Source organism: Homo sapiens, chromosome 12, assembly GCF_000001405.40.
Source record: "Homo sapiens chromosome 12, GRCh38.p14 Primary Assembly".
Lineage (NCBI taxonomy): Eukaryota > Metazoa > Chordata > Mammalia > Primates > Hominidae > Homo > Homo sapiens.
The window spans coordinates 49,926,768-49,949,436 of record NC_000012.12 but is presented as its reverse complement, the minus strand read 5'-3'; the positions used below and the strand labels follow the sequence as shown (position 1 = coordinate 49,949,436).

The window sequence follows — 22,669 nt, the reverse complement described above, 5'->3', positions numbered from 1 at the left end:
AAGTCACAGTCGCAGGAACAGAAATCTGGGAGAGATTGGAGACTGGAGTGGAGCGCTTTGTGTTGTATCATGGGGATGTGGGGTGGGCAGGAGGGGTGAGTATAGGCCCAGGGAGGGGAGTGACTTATCTAGGGTGCTCCAGCAGGTTAGTGGCTGAGCTGGGACTGGAGCCTGGTCTGGAGCTTTCTGCCACACCCCACACTACCGAGCCACATTCTGCGCCTCAGTTTCCTTGTCTGGACAATGGGAGTGTGGATGCCTACCCCATAAAGTTGTTTTGAGAATGCAGTAAGATAATGAACGGGAAGGTATTTTGCAACTGAGAATGTATCATATACATATATATATGGGGACTCGTGACTCCTGCTATTATGAAGGAGGAGGAAGAGAAAGCGGAAGAGGAAGGGGAGGAAGAAAGAATAAAAATTACCCATACAGAAGTGATGTTCCAAAAGAGCAGGGATTCCTGTGGGGTTTGTTCTCCTGTGTATTTCCAGTGCCTAACTCCTGGCCTGACACATAGACACCTGGTGCCCTGGCACTCTTCCCTCAGCCATCCCTCCCAACTTCAGGCATTCTGGGTCCTCCGGGAGAAGATCGACGGAGAGGGGGACCCCAACCCCTGTCATATAAAGGGCATCTGGGGCCCACCTCCAGACTCTGCACATAGGAAGAGACAAGGACTCAGAGGGGTCTGGCTGGGGTGTGCCTCTGCCCCCACCCAGGGAACATGCCTTCCCCACTGCTGGAGTGCAGTGGCTCAGCTCACTGCAACTTCCACCTCCCAGGTTCAAGCAATTCTGTCGCCTCAGCTTCCTGAGTAGCTGGGATTACAGGCACATGCCACCATGCCCGACTACTTTTTGTATTTTTTTTTAGTAGACATGGGATTTCACCATATTGGCCAGGCTGGTCTCAAACTCCTGACCTTGTGATCCACCTGCCTCGACCTCCCAAAGTGCTGGGATTACAGGCGTGAGCCACCGTGCCTGGCCTACTCCTTTCTTTTGTGGTTTCATGTATCACTTCTCCTGACCTTCGGATATACTGTCCACCCCAACTGGCCAAGTTCAGGACTGAGTCTCAGGGGTTCCTGGAAAACCTTCTCCTTGGGCCTCATGTGAACTGAAGCTGTGACAGTGGCTTCTAAATCCACACCCAACCATTTAGTTGCTGTGTGCTCTCGGATGGGCCACACACCCTTTCTGGTCTCTCCTTTGGTCAAGGTATTCACGATCTTGACAGAGTGGCCTACTGACCCTTGATTCTGGGAAGAACCACTCCTAACCCAGTCGGGTAAAAATCTCTTGCTTCCCAATACACCAGGATAGGTGTGACAGCTTCTCCTTGGAGCCCACAAAGACCCAACCCGAATTTGCATATGTTTGTGGTGTGTGTCTTGTGTGGTTGTTCAGTTACACAATCATACATTTAGAAGCTAATGGGATCTTAGAGATCATCTTGCCTGTGGATTTCAGTTTCCATGATGAGAACATGAATTCCAGAGAGAGTATGACCTGCCGCACAGCTTACAATAGTAGTCAGGACTCACATTCTGATCTGGCCCCTAGTCTGGGAGGAGGGGAAGGGGCCAACGATGACACGGCTCATGCCTGTGTTTGCATTTGACTTTCCCTTCATGCCAGGGAGGAAGAAGGTGTTCTCATCAAAGCTGGCGGGGCTTGGCTGTGCTTCTGGCTGGCAGCTCTGCTCACCTGCAGGGATGGCTGCATTTTTTCTACAATGGCCACTACACTGTTTCTTAGGAAGTCTATGCATCTATCATGCACTATTAATTAGAACATGACAAAAATTGCTGATGAATTCACAGCAATGTGAATGTGCTTAATGCCACTGAACTGTGCACTTAAAAATGGTTAAGATGAGGGCCAGGCGTGGTGGCTCACGCCTGTAATCCCAGCACTTTGGGAGGCCGAGGTGGGTGGATCACCTGAGGTCGGAAGTTTGAGACCAGCCTGACCAACATGGAGAAACACCATCTCTACTAAAAATACAAAATTAGCTGGGTGTGGTGGCACATGCCTGTAATCCCAGCTACTCGGAGGCTGAGGCAGGAGAATCACTTGAACCCAGGAGGTGGAGGTTGCAGTGAGCTGAGATCATGCCACTGCACTCCAGCCTGGGCAACAAGAGCGAAAATCCGTCTCAAAAAAAAAAAAAAAGTTAAGATGGTAAATTTTATGTTATGCGTATTTTATAGGCTGGGCTTGGTGGCTCATGCCTGTAATCCCAGCACTTTGAGAGGCCAAGGTGGGCGGATCACTTGAGCCCAGGAGTTTGAGACCAGTCTGGCAACATGGTGAAACCCTATCTTTACAAAAAATACTCACAAAAAATTAGCTAGGCATGGTGGTGTGCACCTGTAGTCCGGCTGATGTGGGAGGATTGCTTGAGACTGGGAGGCAGAAGTTGCAGTGAGCTGAGATTGCACTACTGCACTCCAGCCTGGGTGAAAGGGCGAGACACTGTATCACAGACACACACACAAAAAAGATATTTTAGATTTATTTAGATATCAGTCTTTAAAGTCAGAATTGCTCTTTTGCATGCATAAAAGGAAATTATAGGCAAAACAAATTGGCTAAAATAGTCCCCAGATTTCTTCACATTCAGAGTCCAATTTTTCTGAAACCCTCTTTGACTCAGAGCCTTGATTTTCTGCATGGTGTCACCTTCTGTGCCATCAGGAGCATTGGCAATGTGCCATTCTTTAAAAGATTGTCCACTATTGTTTCCACCATTTATTTTCAAGCCTCAGCCACTCATTCTGCAAGCTTTATTGCCGGGGTTTTCTTGCTTCACGTGTGACTAGCAATCATTCTGCCCTTTTCTCGGTAATAAAACAACACAACAGTTCCATTTACTTATGGGGCTCTTCCTTTCTTAGGTCTCACAAAACACTTGGCTGCTGTTTTGCAAGAAAATATGAAACTGTGGTCATTCTTCAATGATAACTGCTTCACTAATATAAAATTCTTGCTACACTCTTCTGTTTGCCCGCCTTTCTGCATACACAGTAACTGGGTTTAAATGCTAAACCACAGTGTAACCTTTTTGAAGACATTTTAAACAGCAATTAAGCTGAAGGCACGGAACTCACCTGACCAAGTTTAGGTATGCGCAGGCAATGACGGCCACTCCCAGCTGCCACACGAGCGGAAGAGCTCTTATGATGAGAAACGAGATACACCTTAGAATTGGTGAAACATGGCAGTTACAAGATTAAACCCATATGCAATGCCCATTCTGCCACGCGCTGTTCTAGACATTCTTGGATATATCAGCTCACTTAAATCCTCACAACCATCTTAGGAGCTAAATATTATCATCCTGTTTTTTAAAGATGAGGAAAATGAGACAGAGAGAGGTTAAGTAACTTTCCTGAGATTTCACAGCTAGTAAAAGTGGGAAGGCAGAATTAGAACTCCAGTAGCCTGGCTTTGAGAGAACTTTTTTGATTGTAAAGGTGAATCCCTAATTCATTCCCTGAAATAATCAAGATGGGAACGAGGTGGGAAAGAGTGCTTAAGGTCTTTGAATAATAAAGACACGGATTAGGGTGTTGTTTGCTGCTGGCTTGAAAGAGCAGGCGGGGACGGTGGAAAACAGGCGGTGGAAGGAGGGTGTCTGGGAGCTAGGCCGGGTTGAGCCGTGGCTGTGGCCGCGGCCGGTGAGGACGCCCCCTGCTGGAGCACTGTGATGGGATTCGGAGCAGCGCTGTCTGACAGTTGACGTGAGATGTGTTTCCTGCTCTGAGCTGAGTCACAAATGCCCTCTACTCTCCCCGAAAGGTCGGTAAAAGTGGGTCACACAGCAGGCCTGTGAGTCTGGTGCTTTGGGGACTGAGGGAGAAGGGAGCGGGTAGATCCACAGTCGGGGCGAAGCGGGACGAAGTGAAGAGAGCAGCCACGGGCCGCGGCTGGCAGGAGAGGAGGGTGGGAGTTGTGTCCCCGGACTCAGACAGCCTCTGAAGGATGGAGGGCGTTGGATCGTTGCAGCTCTGAGACACAGCGTGAGCCATTTGATTTCTGTGTAGGGTTTCCAGATAAAATACAGGACATCCAGGTAAATTTGAATTTCAGATAAAAAACAAATGATTTTTGTTTGTATAAGCATATTCCAAGCAATATTTGGGACATACATACTAATACCAAAAACATATTCTTTTACTGGAGGTCTGCAGACATCTGGCTTACAAACTAAATCTTCACAAGGACTTTTGGGGATGAGTTCTATGAGACCTATTTTACAAAGGAGGAAACTGAGGGACAGAGATTAGACAAGTTGCCCATGATCACAAGGCTAGTAAGTGACAGAAACAAGCTATGAATATAGAAATTCAAGCCTTCTCCTGATAATAGGCTGACTTCCTTCTCCAAACCCTACCTCAAAGGCCAGGTGGTCGTGACGGTTGAGGCCCAGGTGGAGGCAGGGAAGGCCACAGGTCCAGGCTCCTGGGGAGACACAAAGACAACTTCCTGCCATTTCCCTCCTGCCCATGGGGTGAGGCCCAGGGATGAAGAAGATGGGATCTTGCTAACCTCCCATGGCTCCCCACTGCCCTCGAGAAAGGCCAGACCTTGAACTTGGTGTGTCCTCCTTCTAGCCCTTTCATCTCTGAGCCTGATACCTATTGTTTCTTCTTTTGGAACCTGTGTCACCACCATTTCTCATGGCTAACTCTTCCTCTAACTCTAGGCCAGTGGCTTTCAGAGGTTTTTGATTGAGACCTGCAGTAAGAAATACATTTAATATCTTAACTAATAAACATGATCTCTCAGACAGACAGATAGATAGATAGATAACTGAAACTAACATTTCACAAAACAGTATTTCCTAAGTGTGATGTTGTAAATTCCTCTCTATTTCACTAACAAGTAATTCAGGTCACAACTACTAAATTGATTTTATGACCCACAAATGGGTTGCCACTCACAGTTTGAAAGACACTGGTGGAGGTTCTGGCTGAAAAATTGCTTTTTCATTGGGAGAGGCTTCCTGTAGGCCCATAACACACAGTCCCGGGGGCATCTGCCCAGGGTTTGCCTTGCCTTTTGTGTTGCTCACGGATGTGATTCTCTGTTCAGCATCGGGCTTCTCCTCTGGACTGTGAACTCCTAGAGGGCAGGGTCCATTTCTGGATTTGCTCACCATGGCACCGCAGTGCCTAGCACAGGCCCTGGCCCTTTAGAGGTGCTCAGTACATGTTTGTTGAGTGAATCAATGAGCAAACTGCCAGCCCTTATACCCCCCTTAAGCCCACTTGTGCCCTGCCCCACACCTGCTGTGTTGCAGCCACGTGGTGGTCCTCAGGGACCTGGTTCAGGGTAGAGGTTGATTCCTGGAGCTTGGATGGAGAGAGGGAGCATGTGCATGTGTGCACTGGTGGAATGAGAAGGGGCCAGGAACAAGTCTGCCCACATTTGAGAAAGATTAGATGTGGGGGGCTAGGGTCAGGGAAACCTTTCTAATAACACTGCTTTGTGAAACAGTGAGTTCCTACCTGCTTGGAGGGTCCAAGCAGGCTGAGCAAAATGCCAGAAAAGCTTGGCAAGGGTTTGTGCACCAGGGGAAGGGTTGAATAAGCTGACTAATGGGGTCCTGTCAGCTCTGCTGCGTGGAGGAGTACAGGCTGCAGGCTAATAAAGCTTCCTTATAGGAGGCAGCTGGGAGCCATTGTGGGCACTAGCAGGAGGGGAGAGCAGCTGGGAGGAGGAGTTGCAGGAGGGCAGTATCTCCTGATACTGCTCCTCCTCTGACCTCTGAATTCCTCCCAGTCCCTGGCTCCTTCCCCCATTACATCTGGAGGGGGCTGTCTGGGCTGCAGGCTCCAGAGCCAATGGTGCCTCTGTAGCCCCCGAGCTCCCTGGGCTTCCATGCACACTGTGGGAGTCCTCCTGTCAGGGCTCGGGGGCAGTGGAGAAGCTCTTACCAGCTGGTCCTGGAGAGCTGGTGTCTGTTTCAGCCCTATAGGGAGAGAGAGGAGCTGTGACTGCCAGGGCCAGGCCGCACCAGAGTCATTACCAGAGAAGGGGGTGGAAATTAGTGATGCCCCGGGACCTTGCTCACAAGGGTCACCCAAACCTGTTTGACTCCCTGCTCAGAGGAGCTGCGGCTGAACCACCCTGGCTCTCCAGTGCCTGCCTCCAGCATTCGTGGACTCAAGCGACTGGGTGACCTGCAGGACCTGGCTCAGCACCTGCCCAGGGCCCTGCTCTCTTCCGCCCTGCCTCACACCCCTTCCTGCCCCTCCCTAGCCTCAGCCTCTGACAGCCCTGTCCCTGTCCTTAAAGCCTGCCCTGCCCTTCCTTTGCCACACCTCTGAGTCAGGCTCACCCTTTTCTCTCAACGATGTGAGAAGTGGTTACAAACCCCATCACGTGAATTAGGGATAGGGAGGCTCAAGGAGGTTAAGCTGCCCACTATGTCCTGTGGCCCCGCCCTGCAGCCCCGTATTCCACCTCCATCGTAGCATGGGTCACGCTACCCCAGATGATTTGCTTAAGCTCCGAGGACGAGAGCCAGATTGAATTCGCCTTTGTTATCCCAACATTTCACACATGATTGGCATGGAGTAGACACTCCAAAAAATATAGAATGAATGAAAGTTTTGTCCAAGATCAAACAGCTAGGAAGCAGCCAAACTATAATTCAAACCCAGATCTTCCTGTATCTCAACCCAGCCCCACACCCTTCGCTCTCCTCCAGGAAGCCTTCTCTGACTTACTCAGTCAAGGCAGCTTCCCCTTCCCCCAACCCCCTCAGAATCCTGGGCATTTGGATGTGTTCCTATCCCCGTCTCCCCTGCACTCTCTGAAGGCAGGAACTTGGGATAGGGTCTCAGCTTGGCTCTAATCCTGCTCCTTCCCCAGAACCAGGAGGAGCTCTATGAGTGTGGGATGCCCAGGCTGAGGGTGGAGGGCTCAGGAAGGAGGGCCTCACCCAAATCAGTGGTGTCTTCCTGCCTGGGATCAGCCACCCTGCCTCATCGCCCCTGCTCATCGGGCCAGGGGCCAGGCTTCCACCTGGGACTGGGCCTGCCAGCTTCTCACAAGGGCCGGCCCAAGCCTTGGTATTCTCTGGGGTGGGTCCAGGTGGGGCATCTAATCCTCTGCTCATTTTGCTGCAATTCGATATCAGCTTCCAATTTGCATGCTCTGCTGCCATCCTTCCTTCCTCCTCTGGCCGCACCATGTATTTTCCACGGCTCTTCTGAGGGCCCCTTGGGTACCCTTGGGCTGACCTCACCCCAGGCCTTCTTAGGGCTGAGCGTTGGCCTTGGGATGGAGGGACCACTGTCCCCACAGTGGGAGCAAGGCCTGCATGACCAGCAGCCTGGGGTGGATTCAGGTTCCACCGTCTAGGCTGCCTGGCTGTGGAATCCACAGCCTCTCAGAGCTTCCGTATAAACATATGTAAAATTACCTGCACATGGCTGGTGTTAAAAGAAGAAGTTGAGGCTTCCCCAAGGGCTGAGGGCCCCATAGCTCTGGGAAGTCCTTTACCATATCTAACCATGCACTTCTGGCTACAAAGTCGGCCCATTCTCCTCTGGTTCTACTTGATGGACGTCTGTTTTCTTGAGATTTTAGCACACTTGAGGCAGTTCATTGTATTTATTTATTCATGCAACAAATATTTATTGAGCACCAGCCATGTGCTGAGCACCAACCATATGCCATTCACTGTTCTAAACTTGAAATATGTCAGGAATTGAAACTGACAAAGATCCCTGGCCTGCTGGGGCTTACAGTACAAAGGAGTTTATTCGGCCTATGGGGCAGTTTACTAGATGATGGCCCGTCTCAGCTTATTCTCCTCCACTTTAAACAACTTTCAGAAAAAGAGATGAAAAGAAATTGTAAATATTGAAAAATAACAGTATGTACTCTCAGATGTCATCTTTACCCCTGTCTCACCACCACTGCTTGAATTTAAGTAATGCAATTAGAAGTACAGGCTGTTGCTTAAAAAGTTAAACACAGAGTTAACATGTGATCCCACAATTCCACTCCTAGAATTGGAATCAGGTGTTCAGACAGTAACTTGTACACACATGTTCTTAGCAACATTATTCACAATAGCCAAAAAGTAGAAACAATTTAAATGTCCATCAATCTATAAACAAATTATGCTATAGCCACACAGTGAAATATTATTCATTCATAAAAAGGAAAGAAATACTGATGCTTGCTACAACACTAATGAACCTGAAAAACATTTTATGGGTTTTTTTTTTTTTTTTTTTTTTGAGATGGAGTTTCGCTCTTATTGCCCAGGCTGGAGTGCAATGGCATGATCAGGGCAGGGGTCACCACTCTTCACCCTTATTTTCTAGAGCTGCACCAGCCCACAGCACATGCTCAATAACCGTTTCCTATAACCAAACCCTCTGTCTCACCTGTCACATTGTTCCCGAAATTGCTACTCTTTCAAGAAGCCTATCCTGATGGACTAGTGGGCAAGCATTTCTTCATCCCAAGGTGACACCACTGGCCTCACCCCTCAATCCACTTCACATCTCACTGTGCAAAGACCTGCCACCTGCCTTGAAGACAGTGAAAATGGATCAGATGCTGGACCGATGGGCTGTCCATCCTTGGCCATTCAGTTATCTGCCCCAGGCATGTCTAAATATCCAACCAAGGCTCCTGAGTGTCTTGATACCAAGTTCCAAATTCTCAACAGACTCATCGCATGCCACCCCTGCCCACCTCATTACCCTAGGGAACTTCTGGCTACTTCATTCCTCCAGAGGTGACCTCTTGGGTCCCCTGCACACCCTCATACTGCCCAGAATACTGCATGGAGACTGTCCCAGCTGCAACATCCCTGCCTGGGACACCCTCATTCCCTAGAGCTCTGGCCTCTTCATCTGCATCCATCCATGAGTTCCCTTCTCCAAGAAGCAATCTTTTTTTTTTTTTTTTTGAGACAGAGTCTCACTCTGTCACCCAGGCTGGAGTGCAGTGGTGTGATCTCAGCTCACCGCAACCTCCACCTCCTGGGTTCAAGTGATTCTCCTGCCTCAGCCTCATGAGTAGCTGGGATTACAGGCACGCACCACCATGCCCGGCTAATTTTTGTATTTTTAGTAGAGATGGGGTTTCGCCATGTTGGCCAAGTGGGTCTCGAACTCCTGACCTTAGGTGATCTGCCTGCCTCGGCTTCCCATAATGCTGGGATTACAAGTGTGAGCCACCGCGCCTGGCCGAGACGCTCTCCTTCACCAAGTCCTTCCCCACTAAGCTTTCTCCCTCCCTGTTCTCAGCTCTAGTCAGATTCTGACTTATTCTGGGTGTGGTTCTGGCTCCCCATCAGAGGGTTTAATGTCCCCAAGCAGACTTCACCCTATCCTAGGATCATGGACAGAAATGGAAATAGGGCTAGAAAGCAGAGAACTCTCAGGGGTGCACAGAGGGGAGTGAGGCCCTGGAGCCTGAGCTCTGGGCAGCCAGGACTGCAGGAGGAGGAGCCCCAGGGGGCCAGGTCACATTCCTGTAGAGATTCTCTCCCTGGACTGGTGGGAGCTTCATGGAGCTGTAGGGAGCAGTGGTCAAGTGTTCTACTGACTCAAGTTCCATCAGCAGTTTCCCAGTAGTCCCCCGGAGCAACATGAGGTAGCCCTGGGTCCCCTAGGACTCCAGCAATGGGCTGGGCAGAGGGCCTGCTGGGGTGAAGGGCATAGGATGGGGTTGGGGGTCCAGCTCAGGAGAGGGGTTTCACACCCCACAACTCTGCAGTCAATTGGAGAGGAGAGGTGGATGACCCTAGACCTTTGACTTATCAGAGCTGGAAGGAAAGTTAGTGATTTTCTATCTTTTCAGTGGTTCCTAGGCCCAGGGCCCAGGGCTGCACAATAGTTTAAGTGTTCTCAAACTATTTGCTATATCTCACTGGGTACACTAGGCTCTGAATACTTCCCTGATAGGAGGCTGCAGTCAAGTAACTCAGCCAGAAAGAGCCTCTGCTTTTGACTGGAATTCTGTCCACCCAGGGTGGCACTGCTTGCTATCTGTTGCAGATCTGAGTCTGCTCTATGAGCCTTTCTTCCAGTTAATAAGAAATGGGGAAACAAATTAATCTTCACACTCTGCTCAGAAACATTTTTCTTTCTTTCTTTTTTTTTTTTTTTTTTTGAGAAATCTCGGCTCACTGCAACCTCTGCCTCCCAGGTTAAAATGGTTCTCCTGCCTCAGTCTCCTGAGTAGCTGGGATTACAGGCATGCGCCACCATGCCTAGCTAAGTTTTGTATTTTTAGTAGAGACAGGGTTTCTCCATGTTGGCCAGGCTGGTCTCGAACTTCTGAGCTCACGATCTGCTCATCTTGGCCTCCCAAAGTGCTGGGATTACAGGCGTGAGCCACTGCGCCTGGCCTAGAAACATTTTTCAAAGCATGACATCCACGGCAGCAGTGGAGGTGGGGATAGATAAAAGACAGTGTCTCTTCTGGTGAAAAGGTAGGAAATGATCCACCCCAACCCTGCAGGGGATGTACCTGAGGTCCAGAGAGGGAAAGAAGTTTTTCCCAAGGTTGCACAGCAAACCATGGAGACGTATCAAATGTGAGCACAAGTCCCTGACTCCTGGACCAGAGCACTTTCTACCAGGCCACCTGCCTTCCCCACTCTCCCGGGGACCACAGAGACCCTCATACATGTGATTTACTCCATTTTACATTTATAGGTTCCTATTCCTCATGAGGGCAGTCTTTCAATACCCCCTTGCCTTCTCTCTCCAGAGTCTTTGACCAACCTGTTTGTCAAGAGTAAGTGCCAAAAGAGTCCATACTATATGATTCCATTTGTGTAAAGTACAAAACCAGAAGAAATTGATCTATGCTGTTACAAGCCAGGACAGTGGTCACCCTTAGAGAAAGTGGCACCTGGCGGGGGAAGGAGAGTCTAGATGTTGGCCATGCTCTGTTTCTGAACCAGGTTCTGGTTACACAGGTGTGTTCAGTGGGTGGAAATGCATCAGGTTGCACACTAATGACATGTGCATTTTAAACTGTTTGTATACTTCAATTAAAATTTTAAAAAAGTTAAATTTAAATGATCAATAAATACTCATCTTGAATGATGGAAGACAGCACCTTGGGCCTGTTTCTAAGCAATGTATTGACTACTGGACAAAATTACACCACCATCAGCCATCCACAGTGCTGTGGATGCCCTCCCTCCCCACCGCTGCAGCTTGGCCGGTCAGCCGAAGGCCCCAGCACAGGGAGGTGGAAAATTCTGCCTCTTGCAATACCCAAGCTTCACCAGGACCAGTAATCTCTGGCCCAGTCACACAGAGCCTCCTGGGATTTGAGCCACAGTTGCAGTGAGTGAGGACCCTGAGGGGAATGTCCAACCGGGTGACAGGGAGAGGGCCTGCACTGGTGGTAAGGCAGGCAGGAGACAGCAGATATTAAATGCCCTCCTGGGGAAAGGACAGCTGCAACCCACGGCCTGGTGGGCCTTGGAGCTGTGAGCTGACTCAGGTGGACACAATAACATCTTTCAGACAGTTTTGGACTGGCCCAATTCTTGGGTGAAGAATGCAGCTGAGTGTATGAGTATGTGTATTGGTACAAGTATGTGCTTGTGAACATGCCTTCGTTCTAGCTGTTCCTTCTGCCTGGAACACTTTATCCAACTGCCTGAAACCCTCCAGCCCTTGTCTCTACCTGGTCAAATCCTAGGCGTGCTTCAAGCTCAGTTCAAATGTGTGATGTGGCCTGAGGCCTGACACCTCCTTGCCTCCCAGGCAGAACGAATCCTTTACTCCTTCTCTGGACCCACCATATGACCTAGCACTCACCCCACCAATCAAAATAGTGGGGTGTGCTGCCTCCAATTCTGGACTGTGCCCTCCCTGAGGACAGGGGCTATGACACTCTAGCTCTCTTGTCAGGATTGTTTAAGGGAATATATAAGTGCATATATCTCTGGGAGCATATATTAGAATCAATTAGGACTATCCCTCTAAACAAAGAAAATCATTAGCAGATTAATTAAGAGTCCTGTTCAGAGTGCTAATTCAAAGGCTAAAAATCTTCTAGCTTAAGCAGGATCCAATGTTTGATAAAACCTGTCATTGGGTTACCGTATTGATTGAGGCTGAGCCTTAGCTGTGGAATGCCTGAGTGTGCAATTCACACATAATTCCTCAAGTGATTTGGGCACATTTTTCTCTTATTGACGAGCATTATAATGACTATAATAAACCAAAGAAACCTCCAGTGAAACAACACATGACTATGCTTGTCAATAAAGGTGTAACCATTAATTTAATGAATGCATTTCCCAAGTGCTTCTTTGTTAAGGATGTTTGCCTAGATTCTGACCAGAATAGAAATGGTGTGAATGACGCAATAGCATTCATTAGTTATCCACTCATTCATTCATTTACCAAATCCTCAGCCCCACCATAGTCCTAGGCTCCATGCCAGGGGCCATGGGAAATACTTTCTTTCTTTCTTTTTTCTTTTTCTTTTTTTTTTTTTTTGAGATGGAGTTTCGCTCTTGTCGCTCAGGCTGTCCCCCAGGGTGGAGTGCAATGGTGCGATCTTGGCTCACTGCAACCTTCGCCTCCTGGGTTCAGGTGATTCTCTTGCCTCAGCCTCCTGAGTAGCTGGGAGTACAGGTATGCACCACCATGCCTGGCTAATTTTGTATTTTTAGTAGAGATGGGGTTTCGCCATGTTGGCCAGGCTGGTCTCGAGCCCCTGACCTCAGGTGATCCGCCCACTTCGGCCTCCCAAAGTGCTGAGGTTATAGGCGTGAGCCACCGTGCCTGGCCTGGGGAATACTTTCAAGTGAACAAGACCCCTGCCCTCAACAAGCTTACCTTCCAATAAGATTGGAGATCCCAGCAGCCTCATTTGAATACAAGACACTATAAGAGGCATACTAACGAAATGTCCAGAGGAAGGCATATTCCGAATGGTGAGCCTGGGGAAAGTTCCCTAGAGGACATAGCATTTGGTTTGGAATGACATGAATATGCAGGATTTTGTTAATAGCAACATATTTTTTCCCTTCTATGCAAGTAATTCGTGCTTTAGAATGGCCAAAGCAATCTTGAAAAAGGAGAATGAAGTTGTAGGAATCACACTTTTTGATTTTAAAACTTTTGTTTATAGCAGGGTCCTGGGGTCACACCTGGTTCTGCCACTTTCAAATACGTGAATTTATTTTTATTTTTAATTTAATTTTTTTTTTTTGAGACAGGGTCTTGCTATGTTGCTCAGGCTGGTCTCAAACTCCTGGGCTCAAGAGATCCTCCCACCTCAGCCTTCTAAGTAGCTGAGATTAGAGGTGTGCACCACCACACCGGCTCCTGATTTTAAAACTTACTACAAAGCTACATTCATACTCTGTATCAAGACTGTGTGTAACTGGCATAAGGATAGATATCATAGATCAATGGAATAGAATTGATAGTCTAGAAATAAACCCATATATTTAGGGGCAATTGATTTTCAACAAAGGTGCCAGGGTAATGGGAAAAAAGAGAAATAGTAGTCTTTTCAATAAATGATCCTGGGAAACTGCATATCTACATGCAAAAGAGTGAATCTGGACCCCTAAACAAAAATTAACTAAAAATGACCAAAGACCTAAGTGTAAGAGGTAAAACTTAAAACTCTCCTAAAACACAGCCAACCTTGGTGGCTCATGCCTGTAATCCCTACACTTTGGGAGACTGAGGCAGGAGGATCACTTGAGGCCAGGAGTTCAGGACCAACCTGGGCAACATAGTGAGATGCCATCTCTACAAAAATTAAATAAATAAAAATAATAAAATTCTCAGAAAACATAGAGGTAAGTCTCTTCGACCTTTAATTAGGCAAATTAGGCAATTCAGACATCCAAAGTACAAGTTAAAAAAGATAAATTGGACTTCGTCAAAATTTAAAACTTTTGTGCTTCAGAGGACACCATCGAGAAAATGAAAAAACAACTGATAGAATGGGAGGCGATATTAGCCAATCATATATCTGATAAAGATCTAGTTTCCAAAATATCTAAGGAACTCTTACAACACAACAATAAAAACGCAACTCAATTTAAAAAGGGGCAAAGGATGTGAATAGTTATTTTTCCAAAATATAGATACAAATGGCTAATAATAATAAGCATATAAAAAGATGCTCAACATCATTAGTCACTAGGAAAATGCAAATAAGAACCACGATAGGATACTACTTCACACCCACTATCATGGCTATAATAAAAACAGACACTAACAAATATTGACAGGGATGTGAAGACATCACAACCCTCATACATTGCTGGCGGGGATGTAAAATTGTGCAGCTGCTGTGGAAAACAATGTGGTATTTTCTCAAAAAGCTAAATATAGAATTGCTGTATTGCACTTCCACTACTAGGGTACCCCAAAGAACTGAAAACAGACGCTCAAGCAGATCACTGTATGCCAGTTTTCATAGCAGCATTATTCACAGTGGCCAAAAGGGAGAAACAACTCAAGTGTCCACCAACAGAGGAATGGATAAACACAGTGTGGTATGTCCATACAATGGAATATTATTTAGCTTTAAGAAGGAAGGAAATTCTGACACATGTTATAACATAGATGAGCCTTGAAGACATTATGCTAAGTGAAATAAGCCAATCACAAAAGGTCACATATTTCATGATTCCATTTATATGAAATATCCTGAGTAGGCAAATACACGGAGATAGTAAGTAGAGTTGTGGTTGCAGGGGCCAGGGAGAGGAATAACAGGAAATAATTGCTAATGGGTGTGGGGTTTGTTTTGGAGGTGATGAAAATGTTCTGGAATTAGGTAGTGGTGATGGTTGCACAATTTTGTGAATATACTAAAGACCACTGAATTACACTTTAAAAGGGTACATTTGTGGTTGGGCGCAGTGGCTCACGCCTGTAATCCCAACACTTTGGGAGACCGAGGTGGGCGGATCACCTGAGGTCAGGAGTTCGAGACCAGCCTGGCCAACATGGTGAAACCTCGTCCCTACCAAAAATACAAAAATTAGCCGGGTGTGGTGACACATGCCTGTAAATCCCAGCTACTCGGGAGGCTGAGGCAGGAGAATCACTTGAACCCAGGAGGCGGAGCTTGCAGTGAGCCAAGATCGTGCCACTGCACTCCAGCCTGGGTGACAAGAGTGAGACTCAGTCTCAAAAACAAAAAAACAAAAAAACAAAAAAACAAAAGGAGTAAATTTTACATTATATGAATTTTGTCTCAGTGCAATGCTTTGGATATTTGACCCTTCCAAATCTCATGCTGAAATTTGATCCCCTCTGGTCTGAAGAAAAGATACTAAAAAGAAAAAAAAAAATTCTTTTTAAAGAAATTTGATCTCCAGTGTTGGAGGTGAGGCCTAATGGGAGATGTTTGAGTCACGGTGGCAGATCCCTCATGAATGGCTTGGTGCGGTAACCGGGGAGTTCTTGGTCTGTTAGTTCCTGCGAGAGCTGGTTGTTAAAAAGGGCCTGGCTCTCTCTCCTCTCAGTTGGTCTCTCCCCGTGTGATCTCCAGACACACCAGCTCCTGTTTGCCTTCCCCCATGAATGGAAGTGGGCTGAGGCCCTCACCAGAAGTAGATGCTGGTGCCATGATTCTTGTACAGCCTGTAGAACCATGAGCCAAATTAACCTCTTTTCTTTATAAATTACCCAGCCTCAGGTATTCCTTTATAGCAACACAAAATGGACTAAGACATTCAATAAAAAAGTAATTCATGGTTATCATGGTAAATTTGGAAACAAATATTTTAAAAAAGAAGAGAAATTAGCTGGGTGCTGTGGCTCACACCTGTAATCGCAGCACTTTGGGAGGCTGAGGCGGCTGGATCACTTGAGCTCAGGAGTTCAAGACCATCCTGGGCAACATGGTGAAAGCCCTGTCTCTACCAATAAATAAATAAATAAATAAAAATAAAAAAATTTGCCAGGCATGGTGGTGTGGGTCTGTTATCCCAGCTACTCAAGAGGCTGAGGCTGGAGGATCACTTGAGCTCGGGGGGCAGAGGTTGCAGGGAGTCAAGATTGTGCCACTGCACTCCAGCCTGGGTGATAGAGCAGGACCCCATTTCAAAAAAAAAAAAAAAAAAAAAAAAAAAAAAAGAATCTAGGCAAGACACGGTCCTTGCCCTTGCCCTTGCCCTTGCCAAGGTAGGAGGTGTTTTATAATAAATCTGTCTGTCCAAAAGTGAAGTTGCCTGCCTAGTAAGTAATAGTTACCATGTCTTAAATACTTTCTATGTGTCATGTGTTAGGTGCTTTAGGTAGATTACCTACTGCATCCTCCGAACAGTCCTAGGAGGTAGTTACCAGTGTTATTACTCCCTTTTACAGGTTAGCAACTTACCCAGGTTTCTAGATTTGGAAATGGTGGAGATTCTGACCTCAGGAGAAAAGACCTTCAAGCTCACACTACTAAGCTGCCAGCCTCCAAAGTGCACGTGATGACTGCCTTTGTCAGCACAGCCATGAGGCACTTGCATACCTCCTCGACATCACTGAGTTGGGGGCCAGACACTGGGCTGGGTGATGGGGACACAGTGGTGACTAAGGCAGGGCCCGCCCTCAGGTCATGCACAGAACTGAGGCGGGAAATATACATTGATGTTGTTCTTTTCATTGCACAAAAGAGAAAACTGACACTTTGAGAGGTCGAAAGGCATTTCTGAATTTTACACGCAATGAAGCATGCAAAAGCTTAGCACAGTGACTGACATGTAGTAAAGCTTGATAAATGTCAGCTGTTGTTATTATTTCCAAAGTCACATAGCTAGTCCGTACAAAGCTGTGGCTCAAATCCAGCTCTTCTGGTTCAAACCTCAATGTTCCTTCAAGAGAAGTGCCTGGCAAGGAAGAGCCTGGCTATGCAGAGGTGGGTTCGGGTTGTGTGGTTCCTGAAGCTTATACAACTTGCGGCGAGCTCTTTAAGAAAAATAAAAATTATAAAATATACGAAAATATATGGCCATGTGAATGCATGGCTAGGGCCTATTCCAAAGTCCTAGAAGAGCCCACGCAAGCCGGGCCCTGAAGCTTAAGCTTTCTTACCTCCGTAGCAAGACCACTTCTGCTACCACATGTGGAAGATTTGCTACCTGCGTGGTGGGCTGGCTGGCTGGCCACCGAGGTCCCTTCAGAGACTGAGATTTTGTGATTCTGTGTCCTAAAGTCTATGCAGGAGCACTGCACTCAGAAGCAGGCCAGGGGGCTCCTGCTCTGGCCCAGTGCTTTAGAGGGCTCTGCCATATCACGTATATCCACAGCAGAGACATCTGACGGACCAGTGACTCCCAGGACACAGCACTGCCTGGACCCAAACATTCACTCTCATGACCAACACCAGTCAGGCCCCAAGGAAATGCTTCTTCACACCTCTTACCTTATGTTCTCGAAGCCAAAAGCTCTGGAACCCTAATGCTGGGAAGGTTTGTAGGTTGTACAACTGCCACATGGGAGACAACACTGCTTTCAGGGCAGGGCACAGGAAGGATTCAGAATTAGCTCATCCAAGCTTTCTTCTCAGATCCAATGAATGTAATAGACTCCTACCTAACAAAGTATCCTTTCCCAGAAATGCCAAGTGTCCCTATTCTTGTATTTCTTCCTGTTCCAATTCATGGTCCTGGACATACACGAGTTAGTGCAGTATTCACAAAACCTGCATGTGGCATTTGAGGACTGTTTTGTAAGAATGATTCTCATTAACTCTTATATTTTTGCACGTTTATAGGTCTAGACGTAACATGTAGCAGCATGGTACCAGTTCTTTCCATCACTCTACAGCAGCAGTGCTCAAAGTATGGTCTGAGGATTCCTGGGAGTTGTTGAGCTCTTCTAAGGAGTCTGTGGGGGTCAAAATCATTTTCCTAATACAGGTTGTGTAGCCCTAACCTGAGAATCCAAAAACTGAAATGCTCCAAATTCTCAAGCTGTTTGAGACTCAACATGACCCTACAAGTAGAAAATTCCACACAGGACCTCATGTGACAAGTCATAGTCACAATCCAGACAAAACTGTTTCATGCTCAAAATTATCAAAAATATTTTATAAAATTACCTTTGGGCCATGCGTATTAGGTGTATATGAAGCCTAAGTGAATTCTGTGTTTAGACTTGGGTCCCATCCCAAGATATCTCATGATATATGTGCAAATATTCAAAGAAAACATCTGAAAACCAAAACATTTCTGGTCCCAAGCATTTTGGATAAGGGATACCTAACCTGTAATGCTAAGATATCATTTGCCCTTTTCAGGCTAATTCTCTCACGAGTGTACAGTGGAATTTTCCAGAAGTTACTCAGTGTGTGATGTCACCATCACTCTGATGACTAATGGGATGTGTGCTTGTGTGTTGGGTTTTAAAAGTTATCAGTTTTAATTTCTAATTTGGCAAAAATTGATAGTTATAATTTATATAAACAAAAGGGGTCCTCAAAAGGGGTCTTTGGGGTCCTCAGTAACTTTTAAGAGTATAAAGGAGTTCCAACCTCAAAAAGCTTGAGACTTGTTTGATATTGCTTTAAGAAATTTTCATGATGTACAGGATAGCACTTTGTATGATGAAATAAAAACATTTTTGTAATTTTGTTGTGAGAGTGACAATTTAACATACACCATCCCATTATTTAGTTTGTACGTGGCATATAAAATCCATGGTTTAGTTCTGTATCCAAGTATTGCTTTGAGAATTATATTGATAATTTCCAGCCTTCGCAGAGTGTAATTCACAATTTCTCCACAGTGAAATTGATAAAAAACTAAAAACTATAATGACTCAAAAAAAGTTATCTAATTCAGTATGACTGTCAACAGGACAAAAATTATATAAAATTGTGATTATAACTGCATAATTGGTGGCTTTGCTATTACAAAGGCAAGAAAAGCAAATTTTGTTGAATAAAAAAAAATTATGATGTATATATTTATTACTCAACCAAACATAGCCCGCCCATCATGTGCAATAATAAGTAAATTTAGTCTTCTGTTTTGTCAATTTTCAACTATATAAAAACCATAGCTTTATACATTTTTAAGTTTTGTCATTATGAAAGTATGTTGTCAAAGTAGACAGTCAGGACATATTTTATTTAACACTTTATTAGTCCAGTGGATCATTTTTCTATATTTAGGCACACGGTATGACAACTTGCCTGCGTCCTACGAAAGTTAAGGTGTGCTTAGTACTATGGATTGGGTCATTTCTCCCAGAAGTGGGCAAGAGTTTCCAGAATGTTTAGGTCCTGGATCAACCACTTCTTACTCTAGCTGGTAGTTCTGCCACTGATAGAGAGAGAGGAAGGTGTGAATCCACACTGGTTAGCTTAAATCATGGTGCTTGCTGCCTTTTCTGTAGCTCTGGAATTCCCATCTGTATACATGGAACCTCTTGAGTGTGCAGCGTAAGGCAAACATTTGGCATAGGCAGAGGCCCAGACAGGGAGACCACGCTGGGACCACGCCTCCTATCCAACAGTGTCCCCACATGGATTGCAAGGGTGAATGTGAAGTCCTGGGTGAGAAGGAAGAGCAAAGCATGTCACTTGGGCAGGATCGTCCTTCAGGGTGGCTGACCCAACACCTTCCAGAAGGCTGAAGTCTTGGGTTGTAACTGGCTCCGGGATGCTCCAAGCCTGAGGCACCCTGTGGCTTGGCAGGTGCGGCCAACAAAGCTTGGCTTACTCAGTCATGGTTTCTCAGCACAGGCTGCCTGTCAGGCCAGGAAATCTGGTCCTTCTCCCTCCCACCGTTCATCCCTCCGCCCCAACTCCCCTGCCCAAGAAAGCCTGTCAGAAGGCTTTGCCCAGACCTCAGCTCTCTTTCTAGAGGCAGCTCAGGTGAAGAGCAAGGTAGAGAGCTGTGGGTAGGGGATGCAAGGTGGCAGCCAATGGGAAGGCGGTGCAGGGTTACCTTTTCAGAAAGAGATGTGGCAGAGGAAGACTGGTGGCCTGCACCTCATCTGCGTGGTGGAGCTTGACCTCCCTGTCTATGTCGTATGCTTTTCTCTCCCAGCACTGAAGGAAGGATGGAAAACTGAGGGAAATGTGACCTGTCAACCTCTGCTCTCCCCTCTGCCCAACCAAGAAGTATGGGATACATATCAGTTGAGGGTTACAAGGACAGAAAAAGCCATGGCCATGGGTCCTCCTTTTCCTCCTCTTCCTCTCCAGTTCCCACTAATAAGCAGCTCGCACTGGGTGCTGCACAGGGTTGGAAAGGTGATGCCATTCCCCACTCTGCAGGCATCTCATGGCAGGATACTTCGAGGATATAGGAGCCTGCCAGTCTTCCCCCGCTGGTGAAATCAGAAATATTTGGAAACTCAGCTGGGTACGGTGGCTCACACCTCTAATCCCAGCACTTTCGGAGGCTGAGGCGGGTAGATCACGAGGTCAGGAGATCGAGACCATCCTGGTTAACACAGTGAAACCCCCGTCTCTACTAAAAATACAAAAAAAATTAGCCGGGCATGATGGCGGGCACCTGTAGTCCCAGCTTCTCTGGAGGCTGAGGCAGGAGAATCACTTGAACCCAGGAGGTGGAACTTGCAGTGAGCCGAGATCGCAACACTGCACTCCAGCCTGGGTGACAGAGCAAGACTCCGTCTCAAAAAAAAAGAGAAATATTTGGAAACTCACTGGACAAGGCAAGAGGGCCAAAGTGGAATAGTGGAGACAAAGGCAGAGTGCGGGCAGGTGTAGGGCAGATGGGTTGCATGAAGCCCAGCCCTGAGACTCCTGGGTGGTGGAGATGCTAGGGTGTGGTGGGGTGAGGCCAGAGGCTGAGGCCACGCCCTGTTGTGAATTCAGTTCTCATGAGCACCTACTACGACCTTATCCCCTGCAAAAATGTCCCTTTCCTCACAGCACTTAGAATTTTTTCAACCAATATATATACATTGACAATTTACCATGTACTTGGCTCAAAGCTGGCCACCAGAGTCTCAGAGATAAATATAATTCTAAGACACTTACAATAAAGTGAGAGTCACATGTGCACACAGATATAAGCTGATTAACACTGGAATAAGTCATTTAACTTCTAAAGAACTTGAGTTTTCTCATCTATAAACTAAGGGAGTTTGACTATTTGTAACATATCCTATCTACTTCCAAAAGATTTTGAAATAGCTTCCAAAAACACACATTTATAATAATTTTGTTAAGCTAGAATTAGAAAACTAAACAGCAAGTGGAAGAAGAGAAACTAATGGAAGGGGAGAGGAGACAAAAGAAAAAAGCTAATATGAGGTCAGGTTGGGTTGAGAAGTCAGATGCCAATCGCCCTGGCTATGTTGTCACTAGAGTGGATCATCAGATGTGATTTTTGAGCTTCTTAGCAGCCAAGGAGAAACGAGAAACAGAGGTTTATATGATTACCATCGTATGGCAAAATAACACATCAGGTCTTCAGGAGAAAGTAAATCTTTCCTGGTAGTAAATACTGCAGATAATTTATTGTGTGGGCCCTTCCTTATATACTCAATGTAGATTACAATGCCTTTAGTGGTGGTTTTTCCAGGACAAAAAAATGCAGCTTTTCATGTGGTCATTTCTTCTGCCAACCATCAAGAGATGCCAAGCGTATAACATTAAAATGGAACTTGGCTGAAGGCATTTTTCCTGGGCAGCTAAGCTAAGGTGGTTCTAATGTGTAGTTTTTTGGTGACATGAACTGTTACTAGGATAGAACTCAGAATCTACAGAGGAACAGTTATATAAGTTATATAAGTAGTTTTTCTCACCATCCCTGAGTATTGGCAAATGTTTTCATTTTTGCCAAGCAGAAAGGTGAAAAAGTGATGTTTAATTTTAGTTTTATTTTGCATTTCTTGAATTATGAGTGCTATTAAACATCTTTCTACATGTTTATGGGCCACTGATATTTCTCTTTCTGTAAACTACTTGTATTGGCAAAAACTGCAATTACTTTTGCACCAACCTAATATATATTCTTTGGCTTTTTTTTTTTTTTTGAGATGGAGTCTTGCTCTGTCACTCAGGCTGGAGTGCAGTGGTGCAATCGCAATCTTGGCTCACTGCAACCTATGCCTCCCAGGTTCAAGCGATTCTCCTGCCTCAGCCTCCCAAGTAGCTGGGATTACATGTGCCCACTATCATGCCTGGCTAATTTTTGCATTTTTTTCCCCAAGACGGAGTCTTGCTCTGTTGCCCAGGCTGGAGTGCAGTGGCGTGATCTTGGCTCACTGCAACCTCCGCCTCTGGGTTCAAGCAATTCTCCTGCCTCAGCCTCCTGAGTAGTTGGGATTACAGGTGCCACCACGCCCAGCTAATTTTTGTATTTTTAGTAGGGATGGGGTTTTACCATGTTGGCCATGCTGGTCTTGAATTCCTGGCCTCAAGTGATCCACCTGCCTTGGCCTCCCCAAATGCTGGGACTACAGATGTGAGCCACTGTGCCAGGCAGCTATCTTTAGAAAAAACTGCTTCAGTGTTCTCATCTATAAAATGGAGATAGTAATAATAGCACTTACCTTATAGGGTTACTTACTGTGAGAATTAAATGAAATAATCCATATACTTAAAATAGTGTCTAGCATATAGTAAATGATCATTAAGTATTAGCAATTAAAATAATTGTTTTTTCATATTAATTAGTATGAGTTTCTTTGCAAATTAAG

The 22,669-nt window shown here is 46.1% G+C and overlaps 2 long non-coding RNA genes across 14 annotated transcripts, besides 6 other annotated features; one reads left to right on the top strand and one right to left on the bottom strand.

The window, feature by feature from the left end:
• On the bottom strand, nt 2,514-6,192 carry LOC105369763 (uncharacterized). 13 transcript variants are annotated; one of them, XR_007063301.1, is made up of 6 exons: nt 6,106-6,192; nt 5,954-5,988; nt 4,958-5,138; nt 4,652-4,751; nt 3,122-4,475; nt 2,514-2,929 (listed from the first exon to the last, which is right to left on the bottom strand). It is a non-coding gene; the product is annotated as an uncharacterized LOC105369763 (long non-coding RNA). The 13 variants fall into 13 exon arrangements; XR_944946.3 differs by having other exon boundaries at nt 3,122-4,049; nt 4,408-4,475; nt 4,601-5,988; XR_944948.3 differs by lacking the exon at nt 4,652-4,751 and having other exon boundaries at nt 3,122-4,049; nt 4,408-4,475; nt 4,958-5,988.
• Nucleotides 2,686-3,561: an enhancer, noted in NCBI's record as "NANOG-H3K4me1 hESC enhancer chr12:50339659-50340534 (GRCh37/hg19 assembly coordinates)". NCBI's record gives its function as "activates a minimal SCP1, AML or CMV promoter by ChIP-STARR-seq in naive H9 embryonic stem cells {active_cell/tissue: H9 hESC(naive)}" and the evidence as "EXISTENCE:reporter gene assay evidence [ECO:0000049][PMID:30033119]".
• Nucleotides 2,686-4,438: a biological region, named in NCBI's record as "NANOG-H3K4me1 hESC enhancers GRCh37_chr12:50338782-50339658 and GRCh37_chr12:50339659-50340534".
• Nucleotides 3,537-3,831: an enhancer, noted in NCBI's record as "tiled region #197; K562 Activating DNase unmatched - State 1:Tss". NCBI's record gives its function as "activates a minimal TATA promoter and a strong SV40 promoter by Sharpr-MPRA in K562 cells {active_cell/tissue: K562}" and the evidence as "EXISTENCE:reporter gene assay evidence [ECO:0000049][PMID:27701403]".
• Nucleotides 3,562-4,438: an enhancer, noted in NCBI's record as "NANOG-H3K4me1 hESC enhancer chr12:50338782-50339658 (GRCh37/hg19 assembly coordinates)". NCBI's record gives its function as "activates a minimal SCP1, AML or CMV promoter by ChIP-STARR-seq in naive H9 embryonic stem cells {active_cell/tissue: H9 hESC(naive)}" and the evidence as "EXISTENCE:reporter gene assay evidence [ECO:0000049][PMID:30033119]".
• Nucleotides 3,658-3,898: a silencer, noted in NCBI's record as "fragment chr12:50339322-50339562 (GRCh37/hg19 assembly coordinates)". NCBI's record gives its function as "represses an EF-1alpha promoter that drives an FKBP-Casp9 reporter gene in an ReSE screen in K562 erythroleukemia cells {active_cell/tissue: K562}" and the evidence as "EXISTENCE:reporter gene assay evidence [ECO:0000049][PMID:32094911]".
• LOC124902930 (uncharacterized) lies at nt 3,730-18,613 on the top strand. The gene is made up of 2 exons (XR_007063302.1): nt 3,730-3,812; nt 16,364-18,613. It is a non-coding gene; the product is annotated as an uncharacterized LOC124902930 (long non-coding RNA).
• Nucleotides 6,620-7,605: an enhancer, noted in NCBI's record as "H3K4me1 hESC enhancer chr12:50335615-50336600 (GRCh37/hg19 assembly coordinates)". NCBI's record gives its function as "activates a minimal SCP1, AML or CMV promoter by ChIP-STARR-seq in primed H9 embryonic stem cells {active_cell/tissue: H9 hESC(primed)}" and the evidence as "EXISTENCE:reporter gene assay evidence [ECO:0000049][PMID:30033119]".
• Nucleotides 18,614-22,669: the final 4,056 nt, after the last annotated feature.